This window comes from Homo sapiens, chromosome 2 (assembly GCF_000001405.40).
Source record: "Homo sapiens chromosome 2, GRCh38.p14 Primary Assembly".
In the NCBI taxonomy this organism is placed as follows: domain Eukaryota; kingdom Metazoa; phylum Chordata; class Mammalia; order Primates; family Hominidae; genus Homo; species Homo sapiens.
The window spans coordinates 43,773,924-43,787,056 of record NC_000002.12 but is presented as its reverse complement, the minus strand read 5'-3'; the positions used below and the strand labels follow the sequence as shown (position 1 = coordinate 43,787,056).

The 13,133-nt window shown below is 39.8% G+C and overlaps 1 protein-coding gene and 1 long non-coding RNA gene across 6 annotated transcripts in view, besides 1 other annotated feature; both read right to left on the bottom strand.

Moving 5' to 3' along the window:
- DYNC2LI1 (dynein cytoplasmic 2 light intermediate chain 1) overlaps nucleotides 1–13,018 on the bottom strand; it is a 54,309-nt gene extending 41,291 nt beyond the window's left edge. For all 5 annotated transcript variants that reach the window (NM_001348913.2, NM_001348912.2, NM_001193464.2 and 2 more), the window contains exons 1-3: nucleotides 12,911–13,018; nucleotides 10,158–10,275; nucleotides 3,503–3,537 (exon numbers count right to left, since the gene is read on the bottom strand). In NM_001348913.2, coding sequence (NP_001335842.1) covers nucleotides 3,503–3,537; nucleotides 10,158–10,275; nucleotides 12,911–12,918 — 161 coding nt within the window. In that variant the 5' untranslated portion in view covers nucleotides 12,919–13,018. The remainder of the gene's footprint in view (nucleotides 1–3,502; nucleotides 3,538–10,157; nucleotides 10,276–12,910) is intronic.
- LOC105374571 (uncharacterized) lies at nucleotides 12,065–12,904 on the bottom strand. Its single transcript, XR_940033.2, has 2 exons — nucleotides 12,511–12,904; nucleotides 12,065–12,184 (listed from the first exon to the last, which is right to left on the bottom strand). It is a non-coding gene; the product is annotated as an uncharacterized LOC105374571 (long non-coding RNA).
- Nucleotides 13,083–13,132: an enhancer, noted in NCBI's record as "active region_15680". NCBI's record gives its function as "activates an Ori minimal core promoter by ATAC-STARR-seq in GM12878 lymphoblastoid cells {active_cell/tissue: GM12878}" and the evidence as "EXISTENCE:reporter gene assay evidence [ECO:0000049][PMID:35858748]".

Here is a 13,133-nt window from a genome sequence, read left to right as displayed (position 1 = left end):
TAGCGTTGAAATAAATTATATTCACAAAAGAAATAAACCTGCAAAACACCGTCTTAGTGGATTTTAACAGCACATGCATGTGGTAGCCCCTAAAGGCACTGCTGGGGCAAAGTAGAGAATGTGTTGAGGCTGGCAGCGTGGATGGCCACGCTGGGCACAAGATCTCTACATCCAGGCCATGCAGGAAGCACTGACACTGGGTGTTTTTTTTTGTTTTGTTTTTGTTTTTTTGAGATGGAGTCTTGCTTTGTCGCCCAGGCTGGAGTGCAGTGGCACGATCTTGGCTCACTGCAAGCTCCGCCTCCTGGGTTCACGCCATTCTCCTGCCTCAGCCTCCCGAGTAGCTGGGACTACAAGCACCCGCCACCAGGCCCAGCTAATTTTTTTTGTATTTTTAGTAAAGACAGGGTTTCACTACGTTAGCCAGGATGGTCTAGATCTCCTGACCAGGATGGTCTCGATCTCCTGACCTCGTGATCCGCCCGCCTCGGCCTCCCAAAGTGACACTGGGTTTATACTCAGCCCTGATGTGAGGAACCTAATGACTGTCAATTTAAAACATCAATGCAAGACTTGGCCAGGCATGGTAGCTCACGCCTGTAATCCTAGCACTTTGGGAGGCTGAGGCGAGTAAATTGCTTGAGTCCATGAGTTTAAGACTGGCCTGGGCAACATGGCAAAACCCTGTCTCTACAAAAAAAAAGGTAGCACATGTCTGTAGTCCCAACTACTCAGGAGGCTGAGGTGGGAGAATCACTTGAGCCTGGGAAGTTGAGGCTGCAGTAAGCCGAGATCATGCCACTGCACTCCAGCCTGGGTGACAGAGAGGCACCCTGTCTCACAAAAAAACAAAAACAATGCAAGACTTTAACGCAGTTCTCTAGCAGTTCTTTATCTTAAATCACAGCCCAAACATGGGCATCATTTAGATAATGATAGTTAATAAATTATATCAACAAGTCCTTAAAATCAGTAATGATTAGGAAAATATTAAAACAATTTGCTGAATTATTTATACTATAGCTTATATTGCTGGTAAGCAGTTTTATGGTGTATATATATTTAATTTTTTATTATGGTAAAGAACACATAAAATAGAATTTATCTTACCTATTTTTAAGTGTACAATTCAGTAGTATTAAATTTATTCACGTTGTTATGTAACTAATATTCAGAACTTTTTCATCTCACAAAACTGAAACTCCATACCCATTAAACAACTTCTCATTTTCCCTTCCCCCTAGTCCTTGGTAACTACCATTCTACTTTTTGTTTCTGAGTTTGATTATTTTAGATATCTCATATAAGTGGAATCATACTATATATATTTTATTTTATTTTATTTATTTATTTTTTTTGCAGTGGCACAATCTTGGGTCACTGCAACCTCTGCCTCCCAGGTTCAAGTGATTCCCATGCCTCAGCCTCCCAAGGACCTGGGATTACAGGGGCCCGCCACCACGCTTGGCCAATTTTTGTATTTTTAGTAGAGATGAGGTTTCACTATGTTGGCCAGGCTGATCTCGAACTCCTGACCTCAAATGATATGCCCGCCTCGGCCTCCCAGAGTGCTGGGATTACAGGTGTGAGCCACTGCACCCACCCCAATATTTGTGTTTTTTTTGTTTCTGGCTCATTTAACTTAGCATAATGCCTCAAGGTTCATCCATGTTGTAGCATGTGACAGAATTTCCTTCCTTTTTAAGGCCAAATTATGTTGCTACATATCTTTATTTTACTTTCCTATTTTATTTTATTGAGACAGGGTCTCACTCTGTCATGCAGGCTAGAATGCAGTGGCGCGATCACAGCTCACTGCAGCCTCAACCTCTCGGGCTCAAGTAATCCTCCCACCTCAGCTTCCTGAGTAGCTGGGACTACAGGTATGCACCACCATGCCCAGCTAATTTTTGTATCTTTTGGTACAGACGAGTTCTCACTATGTTGGCCAAGCTGGTCTTGAACTCCTGAGTTCAAGCGATCCGCCTGCCTTGCCCTCCCAAAGTGCTAGGATTACAGGCATGAGCCACTGCACCCGGTCCCATATCTATCCTTAGACTGGAGAAGAAAGAGAAATGATTTTTAAATTTGTGACTTACATAATTATGTTTATTGAATATTCTGAATATCACCCCTGCATACATCTTTTGAATACGTTATATAGAGAGTAATATTCGGTTATATGTCCCAAAAGATAGAAATTTTATCAAGCCAAATGCCACTTTTAAGACAAAATTCATAAGATCTGATATTTAACCTATATTTTAGAAAATTAACCTTTTCCTAAGTAGACTATTGAGGAATTGAAATTAATACTTTTCAGGGCCAGGCGTGGTGGCTCACACCTGGATTCCCAGTACTTTGGGAGGCCGTGGCAGGCGGATCACCTGACATCGTGAGTTCGAGACCAGCCTGACCAACATGGAGAAACCCTGTCTCTACTAAAAATACAAAATTAGCTCGGCGTGGTGGCACATGCCTGTAATCCCAGCGGGAGGCTGAGGCAGGAGAATCGCTTGAACCCAGGAGGCGGAGGTTGCAGTGAGCCGAGATGGCGCCATTGCACTCCAGCCTGGGCAACAAGAGCGAAACTCCATCTCAAAAAAAAAAAAGAAAGAAAGAAATTAATACTTTTCAACTCAATGTACTATTTTGTAGTATTTTATCCTAAGCTGGTGTTGTATTAGATGATTTGTTTATGACAGGAAACGTCTAAATGTGGTCTAAAAAGACCCATGATTCCTGGATATGGAAAGATAATACAGGTGTTACTGTTGATAGTTCCTCTGAGAAACAATATTGTTGGTGAAAGGAATTACACAAAAGCAGGAATTTATTATTTGTATCCTTTAAAAATATTTTTCAAATGAGTGATGTTTCTTTAATGTGACCTTAACACCAAATTCCATCTCTTTTGATGATTTTGGAGAAGTTATAAGATATATGTATTCAAATGAAGGGAACAGAGAAATATCTTCCAAAAATGACTGAAGGCTTTCCTCATCAGCTTCCTGAAACATCTACCAATCATACTGCTAAATCTTAATCTGATGGCCTGCTTCTACAGTATACGTTAGGAAATATATAAAATAAATGATAAAATATCCAGTTTGAGGACCAACACTGTGCTTCAAAAATGTACCCCTGAGCAACTAAAGCTTACAATGAATGTTCAAATAATTGTAGATTAGGTAGAACAAAAATAATTTAAATATCAGAGTAGCATAGCCAAAAAGAAGGTAAATACTATTGTAGGTTGGGTAATTATGGTAACATTTCTCCCTCAAATAGGGAAATCCAGTATTAGTCTCATATAATTTTTGGCTTATTGTTAGTTTTATATTTAAAGGCGCTCTTAAAGGTTATACTAAGGATTTGCTAAGAATTAAATATTTTGTTTGGGTCTCAAAATCGTTCCCCTTCCTTATGTCTTTTAGAGCTAACTTGCCCTATACAACTAGAATAAGCATAAATATAGTTTAAAGGTTAACATAACACTTACCTGTCAAGACACCTTAGAATAATAGTAGTCTTTCCCTGGAAATTAAAAAAGAAGGAACACTGCGTTAATGTCACTCATATGTAAAAATTGTATTATTGTTCGTAATTGTGGCCCAAAATAGATTTTTAATCAATTGAATGATAAATTACCTGGAAACTAAAAACTAGAAACTTTCGGAATTGTTCTAAAGTTTGATAAGTGGAAAAAGTTAACTGTCAACTTTCCATCACAGTGTAACTACACTGCTATTATTATAATTATAAAGTCCCACAGATGACAAATACTAGCAAATCATACCTCACTTAAGTGGTCAACTTGGCAGCTGTCTTAAATTTTTTCTCTACTCATCAATGTTAATTACTGGTTAAGCCGATGCTTAGTGTCTTTTAAAATGTTTTAATTCCAATTGTTGAAGTGGAAATAAAGAAAAAGGTAACATACAAATAAAGGACACATTGTAAATATGTTCAAAGTAAGCAATTCAGATACTGCATTAGAGTAATTTGTTTTAAGTCCAGAGGATGTACTTATTCCAAGTTTCTGTTTATTTTTATTTTATTTTATTTTATTTTTGAGACAGAGTCTCACTCTGTTGCCAAGGCTGGAGTGCAGTGGCATGATCTTGGCTCACTGCAACCTCTGCCTCCTGGGCTCAAGTGATTCTCGTGCCTCACCCTCTCAAGTAGCTGGGATTACAGGTGCACACCACCATGCCTGGGTAATTTTTGTATTTTTAGTAGAAACAAGGTTTTGCCATGTTGGCTAGGCTGGTCTTGAACTCCTGGCCTCATCTAATCTGCCCACCTCAGCCTCTCAAAGTGCTGGGATTACAGGTGTGAGCCACCATGCCCAACCCCAAGTTTCTTTTTAGGAGTAAGGAAATACAAGTTCTGGCCTAATTCCTACCACTAGTCAGGCAACTTAACTTCACAGCTTAGCCAGGGATTAGCTCAGTGGTTTATATCATTTTTAAAAAATAGTAAAATCCTTTTTTTTTTTTTTTTTTTAAAGAAAAGACCCCTTGCAAGGAAACAGATAAAAGAGAAACAGCAGGACAAGCTCCACTGGAGGAAACCTTCAGGCTCTAAAGAAAATAATTTGGAAAACTCTGGATTGCCAAAAACACAGAACACTTATTATATGTGTTTTTGTTTTTACTAAAAAAACCTATAGTTTTTGACAAAAAAGATAATTACTCCAGATTATATCTGGAATACGATCAAATTGAGTAAATTTTTTGTAATGAGATATATTAAAAAATAACTGGAATTGTACAATATAAAAATGTATATTATTGAAGGATGTTTATTGGCCAGTGTTACATCAAACTGAAAAACTAAAAACAACCTACATGTCCCCTACTGGCTAAATTAATTATGGTAAACCATATAATAGAATAATATACAGCTATTATGAATGACAATGTAGAAATATACTTACTGACATAGTAAAACATTCATAATAGATCAGCATGTCTCTGTTTTCAATTAAAAAATACTTTTCCTGCTTCCTTGAAGTACACACACACACACACACACACACATAGACAGAAACAAACACACAAATGTAGGGGGACATCACTATGTTAATAATGATTATTTCTAGCTGAAGGATTTGAAGGTAATTAAAGTTTTTAAGAAAATCAGGATTTTCTGCCAGGCATGGTGGCTCACGCCTGTAATCCCAGCACTTTGGGAGGCCGAGGCGGGTGGATCACGAGGTCAGGATATCAAGACCATCCTGGCTAACATGGCGAAACCCCAACTCTACTAAAAATACAAAAAAATTACCAGGCGTGGTCGTGGGCACCTGCAGTCCCAGCAACTTGGGAGGCTGAGGCAGGAGAATGGTGTGAACCCAGGAGGCAGAGGCTGCAGTGAGCCGAGATCACACCACTGCACTCGAACCTAGGCGACAGAGCGAGACTCTGTCTCAAAAAAAAAAAAAGAAAAAGAAAATCAGGATTTTCTAATTTTCCTACAATGAACTTGTATCATATGTAGTATGCTGTAAAAGTTCTAAATTAATAAGGGCTACATTACCCAAAAAGTAATGTACTCTGCAAGAAAGTAGAATAAGAATTGGAAGGAATTTTAAATAATATCTAGCCAATTTCCTCAAATTTTCATGGTACACTAGTATTCATTGATTTAAATCACTCCCCCTCGCCTTTTTTGTTTTTTTTTTTGAGACAGAGTCTCCCTCTGTTGCATAGGCTGGAGTGCAGTGGCACCATCTTGGCTCATGAAACCTCTGCCTCTGGGTTCAAGTGATTCTTAGGCCTCAGCCTCCGGAGTAGCTGGGATTACCAGTATGCACCACCACGTGCAGGTAACTTTTTGTATTTTTTAGTTGAGATGGGGTTTCACTATGTTGGTCAGGCTGGTCTTGAACTCCTGGCCTCAAGTGATCTTCCCACCTCAGCCTTCCAAAGTGCTGGGATTACAGTCTTGAGCCACCACGCCTGGCCTTAAATCACTTTTATTATTATTTCATATAAATGTATAGCACTATATGGTAACAATTCCAAATTAACATAAACTAATCTGGGAACTGAAATCAAGTTTTAGATTATCATTAAAATTACAATCCAAAATTTAAAAATTCATTAGTACACTCTGGTCCCCTGAGCATGTGGCTGTAGTCTTGTGGGTTTCCTAATTCAAGAAACATTGACCTAGTACAAGTTCATTTAGAGACCATCAAAATGAATCCCATCTTCCCTCCCATTGCCTCAATCGCCCCAGATGTCCAGCCCTCTCCTCTGACCCATTATCCCTGGAACTCTGAATTTCCTAACTCTGTAAACATCCCTTAATCTGGCCCAATAATCCCCTTCTGTCTTCCCTTCCTCTAAAATCCTTCCACTCTATGACTTCAGCTCCATGACTGGCAAACTCCCCAATATCTCAGCCTTTTCAGAATATTCTCTCCACATGTTGGCCTTAACTAAAATATGACTTACCCTGAACCCCTTCCTCTGCAGCCTTGTTAAACGAAGCTATTTATTCTCACTACCCTACATACATTAGGGTCCTCCTTGCTCCCCAGTGCCACCTATAAACAACTACTCTACCTCCCTCCTCTTGAAAAAACCTCAGAGGCTCGTATCAGTTTACCACCAGGGTTGTTGTCATCTCTTCTGGCTCACAATCTCCCTTACCTTTTCAGCTACTGTCATGAATCTTCTTCACACCCACATGGGTCTTGGCAATCCACCTGACATCCGGAGCTCTCAGTGCATTTGCCTCCCAATGGAGGCCTTTTCCCTCACTCTGCTTCTGCCATGGTCACTTCCAAGGTTACATCTTGAAGCTTTCCAGTTTCACTGGAAACTGCACTGCTTCCAAAATCACATGTACAAACAACACATTCTCTAACCACTTCTTCAGGCATCCCCACAGTAATAACTCTTTGACCTTAGTGAAAGGTCTCAAATGTCCATTGACACCCCTCTTCCCCCCACTAACAGTCGCTCCTACTCCATCAGCCTCTTCCTACCTTCACTTTTCTCCTTTTCCATCTCAGAGCCCATAGTTTATCATTACAATCATCTCTGTTAAATACCATTCATGCCCTGAGCTCCCTCACTTTGCACTGTACCCAACCAGCAAAGACTGCCCCAGGTAATCACCTTCCTCCTCCATGCCTGCACCCATGCAAGTGAGTGATGGTGGAGAAAAACCATGTACTCTGGGCAGATTAGTATCAAACTAACATCCATCATCAAAATGGCAGTCAACAATGACTGAAAATCCTATTACATTCCTCTAGTATGATCTTTCTCCCATTTGTTGGAATATCTGTTTCATACATTTTTCTTGATCATCTTAGAATACTCCACACTCTTCACCTGAATTACTTCTCTTTCCTTACTTCTCACCTTCAAGCTTTAGCCATCACTCTCTTCAGGAGGCTTTCCTAGTCTCCCAACTTTCTGGGGTGAGTTAAGTGCCCTCTCTGTTTTCCACCACAGCATTTGTCTCATGGTATTGTCATTGTTGGTGTACAAGTCCTGATACACAAGTTGCTTCCCAGGGAGAATGCCTTTCATTCCTGTTTCCACAGTGTCTAGCAGGATGCTTAGCATATAAAAGATGTTCGATCAATGTCAACCGAATGGATGAACAGATGGTTGGAAGGAGAAAGAGAAGGCAGCAGGGCAGTGGGCTTCTTTGGTAAAGGGTGATTACTATTAATTGAACAATAGAAGCATTAATCGCTTCTCTTTATCTTCCAAAATAATGTTCTCCATGAAGCAGAATCAGATACTTTTTTCTTTCTTTTTTGAAACAAGGTCTCCCTCTGTTGCCCAGGCTAGAGTGTAGTGGCACAATCACGATGGCTCACGGCAGCCTTAACCTTCTGGGCTCAAGTGATCCTCTCACCTCAGTCTTCCACGTAGCTGGGACTACATACAGGTGAGTGCCACCACACCCGGCTAATTGTTTTATTTTTTTGGGGGGAGACTGGGTTTTGCCACGTTGCCTAGGTTGGTCTCGAACTCCTGGGCTCAAGCAATCCATCTGCCTCAGCCTCCCAAAGTCCTGGGATTACAAGCATGAGCTACTGCACTCAGCAGAATCACAGACTTTTTAAAGAATAATACCCTCAAAAGTTTTAGATATCAAGGGAGTTCCCAAATCATCAGAAACAAAATTACTTTTATTACTAAAAACAAAAAACAGTTTGTATATGCCACATATTGCCATCAAGAAAAAGGGGTGGTTTCACAAGTAACAAAAAAACAAAACAAAACAAGACAAAACAGGGTATCATGACTACAAGGGAGTCAAGAATAACTGTTACAGAGAGCGCTAAGAGGATACTGGTAGGGGTATTTTGTATGTAAGCATTTGTATGATGGAGTCAGTAATCAGTACCATTAGTATAAGCCATTCTATCTAATATTCTGTGTACAGAATGTTTTCTGTAATAGAAATGTATTTGTACCATAAGACTAGTACTAGTTATTTACTCATTTATTTAAATCCATGTATGTACCTACATGGCAGTAAGATACAATGTAGGAAACTGTTAAGTACTATGCCTAATATGAAAATCACGTGCATCATAATAGTAAACTCGTGAAATAATGCGTAGCCAGGGGCGGTGACTCATGCCTGTAATCCCAGCATTCTAGGAGGCTGAGATGGGTGGATTGCTTGAGTCCAGGAGTTTGAGGTCAGCCTGGGCAACGCAGTGAAACCCCATCTCTATTAAAAATACAAAAAATTAGCCGGGTGTGGTGGCGCATGCCTGTAATCCCAGCTACTTGAGGTAAAATCACCCGAGCCAGGGAAGTCAAGGCTGCAGGGTGCTGAGATCGCACCACTGCACTCTAGCCTGGGCAACCAGAGCGAGACCCTGTCTCAAAAAAAGAAATAACATGCTTATAAAATATATACTTATATAGTTGGGTTAAAATTTTAAAATATAAATGATCTCTACGATAATTTTATTTTAAAGAATTAAGTTTGAATTTTAAAAAGTGGGCCAATATGAAAACTCTGGAAAATAAAAAAATTAAAAACAAAATAAAAACATTAAGTGATTAGAATTTTACTATCCATATTTCTAATTTTTATCAGAATTTTTTATTTACGTATTTGTATAATTGGGATCATGTCATGTATGACACTTGTGTCCTGCTTTTTTAATTCAGATTATATTCTTACATCACTAAAACCTTTTTCATGGTTGTACAGGTATTTCTCCCAATATATGTAATCTTAATGTTGTATATAAAACCCCCAATGGAGGGTGTCCGGTTGTGCAGAGAGGGCCTTCTGGGACTCATCTGGAGACAAGACGGGTGCTCAGGCTGCCTGGGCGCTGACGTTGCCCAGTGAACACGTAGCCCTGCTGATGCAGAGTGTAGTTTCTGAAAGCTTCGTATTTGTCAATGCGCTTAAGTGGAAGCATGGAGCACAGAAAGTGAACAGGAATTTGAACCCCACACAGAAATGAGCTATGGCACTACATGAATTTCAGCATCTTGCATCTGGCAAGCCTTGACCTTTTTGTGTCACCAGTCATTTTGCCTTCCTGGCAGGAACTTTGTGGGCCAGGCAAAGTTGCATGAAGATATGATGCATATGTTCCTACACTGTGTGGCCACTTCCACGCCTTTCTGTATGCTTGGCCAAGTAAAACAGAGACTTACAACAAGTGGGGAGGGGTCCCTTCCTACCAATCAGTGGTCCACTGGAAATGCTGCCATATTTTCCCCAGATATTTCAAAATAATTAATAACCCTGTAACAAATATCATTGACACAGTTCAATTATTCCTTTAATGAGATTTCTAAAAGTAAAGTAACAATCTAAAATATAAAATTGTTAAGATACTGACTTACTGATTTAGAGACTGACTTAGATATTTACATGAATCCTAGCTTTTACACTCAATTGTGGTAGAAGACCTGAATATTTTCAAATCATGAAATAAAAAATAGTTTAAATATATTTTTCTAAAATTTTGTTTACTATTATAGTTTTTCCTAGATTAATAATAAGCACTTTTTAATTCATGCTAAACCAGATTGGTCATCTGGTTAAAGTGTTGAAGTATCTACATTTTAATCAAAGTATTAACAGATATTTTACCAATGGTTGTTAAATCATCACAATAATTGAAAAAAAGAAAGCATTACCCCATTTTTACTGCCAATGAAGAAAACAAATTTTTCTGCAATTTCAGCTCCATCACCTTCACTTCCATTAATTCCCCTTTTTTCCACTTCAGCTTTTGCAATTTCCCAGAGAGTTTCACTACATGAGAGGCAGAAAAAACAAAATTGAGGGAAAAAGAATTCTTTCAAATATTTATTTCAAGCTCAGAGAAATTTTATTTCAGTATAATTTATGAAACAAATGAACATTATTTTCTGAGGAACAATAATCTGGTAAAACATCTGAGGATTAGTCATTCTATGATTTTATTTTTCTTTTGTTGCTTTGAACTAGTTCTCTGAAGAATACTGAAATTGATAAGCAGAGCCTTTATTGCCAGGATTTGAGGCTGTCACATTTGGGTCTTCCCCTACGGTTCATAGCTGTGTATGTCAGCTTCTCAGACACATATGGAGGTACAATGACTTTGGGAATGTACAACTTGAAAACCACAAACATTTAAGTCACCTAGGAAGATGGGAAAAGTACAAAACCAGTGTATCAAATAATCTTTCCTCCCTGAAACATTTCTTTTTTGTGTTTTAGATTATGTTTTTAGGTAAAAAAAAATTTTGTTTAATATAAAAGTATATGGGAGGCTGAGGCAGGAGGATCACTTGAGATCAGCCTAGGCAATACAGGAAGATCCCATCTCTACTACTGCTACTACTACTACTACTACTAATAAATTAGCATGGGGGAGGGATAGCATTAGGAGAAATACCTAATGTAAATGATGAATTAATGGGTGCAGCAAACCAACATGGCACATGTATACATATGTAACAAACCTGCACGTTGTGCACATGTATCCTAGAACTTAAAGTATAAAAAAAGAAGAAGAAGAAAAGAAAACAAACAAAAAAAATTGGCTGAGGCTGGGAGTGGTGGTTCACACCTGTAATCCCAGCACTTTAGGAGGCCAAGGTGGGTGGATCACTTGAGGTCAGGAGTTCAAGACCAGCCTGGCCAACATGGTAAAACCCCATCTCTACTAAAAAAAAAAAAAAAAAAAAAAAAAAAAAATTGGCCAGGTGTGGTGGCGGGTGTCTGTAACTCCAGCTACTCAGGAGGCTGAGGCATGAGAATCACCTGAACTCAGGAGGTGGATGTTGTATTGAGCCAAGATCGTGCCACTGCACTCCAGCCTGGGCAACAGAGCGAGACTCTGTCTAAAAAAAAAAAAAAGAAAATAAAAAAAGAAAAAGAAAAGAAATTAGCTGGGTGTGGTGACATGCACTCGTGGTCCCAGCTACTAGGGAGGCTGAGGCAGGAGGATTGCCTGAGCCCTGGAGGTCGAGGCTGCAGTAAGCATGTTGACATCACTGCACTCCAGCCTGGGTGACACAGCAAGACCTTGTCTCCCCCCGCCAAAAAAAAACCATAAAGAAAGAAAGAAAAAAAAACCCTAAAACCACAAACATTTTGAAAACAATCCTTTCATTGATTTCTTTACACAGATATATAACTTTACACGATAAAATCATATATATATTAATTAAAGCCTAAGTGAAAATGGAATATTAAACTAAAAACTAACCATGGGCAAGACCTGATAGGTCCTAGCCTGATTCTGCTACTTCCTATGTATGTGAACTTGGGAAAACTACCTAACCTCTTTAAATCCTTCATTCCTTTATTAATTAAACAAATATTTATTGAGCACCTAATATATGCAATCCTCTGTGCTATTCCCCAGGCTCAATTGTTTCTCTATCTCTAAAAAGCCAATAAAAAAGAGTATCAGCTTTATAGGATTGTCATAATTGTTAAAATATATATGTAGTTTAGGGCATGGCCTATACAATTACAAAAATTATTGAGGGCTTGTAATTATACTATTCAAGAACCAGGAATAAGAAAAAGGGTCAAAACAGGAGTCCTTAAATGTTTGCACTAAAATTCATGCATTTATTTCACAGGTGAGCCTTCAGAACTCAGTTTCGGGCTGTTTGCTCTTCATTTACACAACATTCTTTCAAAATATGAGGATCTGCTTTCCAAATACCTAGCAGAGAGGAAAGACGGAGGTGCTGCAGTCAGCCACGACACCTGCGGAAATCGGGAAGTATAACCATAGCTTTATAACTAACCAATTATCCCTTGATGGAAAGCTGACAATTCTCCACACTATCCCAAGGAGAGAAAAAGATTTATCCTGCTCTGTGATGCACTCCCTGACCCCTCTCCCCGACGTGCTTAAGCATAAATTGTTGAGAAAAGGTTTAGGAATATCTTGTGAACAGGTAATTAAAATGAATATCATAGAATTGAACAGCTAGAATATAGTTTACAAACCCTCTCCCGTTTCCCCCCTTAAAAGTGATGTTATACTTTCCACAGTGCCTTCCAAGTTTCCCCTCGCTTATTACTGCGAACCCCCGCACCAGGAGGGGAGGCCCCTGGGGAGAGGAGGCTTTGTGGTCTAGCTCATCGCCGAATGTCCTGCTCCGGAAGTAGTCTCTGGCCTGCAAGAAACTTTTATTCAATCATTGAATGGGTGGAGTTGCTGATCTTTCCAAATCTCTCACTTTTCTACCTAGGGAACTTTCTTTTCTTTCCTGTTTGCGGCAGAATCTTTATGCTCAAGGCTGATTCCTAGGTCCCCGACCCTGCATATCCTGGTGGCAAGTAGCCACCCCCACAATCTTCCAACAGCTGGTCCCGCCTGGGCTTCCTCTCTCCAGGAATACTCTCAGTAGCCTTTCCCACGCAAGCCGGGTTCAGGGAATACCTGGGCATCGTCGACGGCCTGGCTGCCGCAAACGTCACAGGCTCGGAGTAGTGACCAGCCTAGAATCAGGCGGCGAGCTCCGCAAGGAGTCTGGGAGTGAGGCCTTCTGGGTTGCCATGGGAGCGACGTCGCGGCCGCGGTTGCGTGGGGAGACGGGCATCATGGGAAATGTAGTTTTCAGGAGTCCTTTTACATCTCATTCTCGGCCTCAAGCCTTAGGATT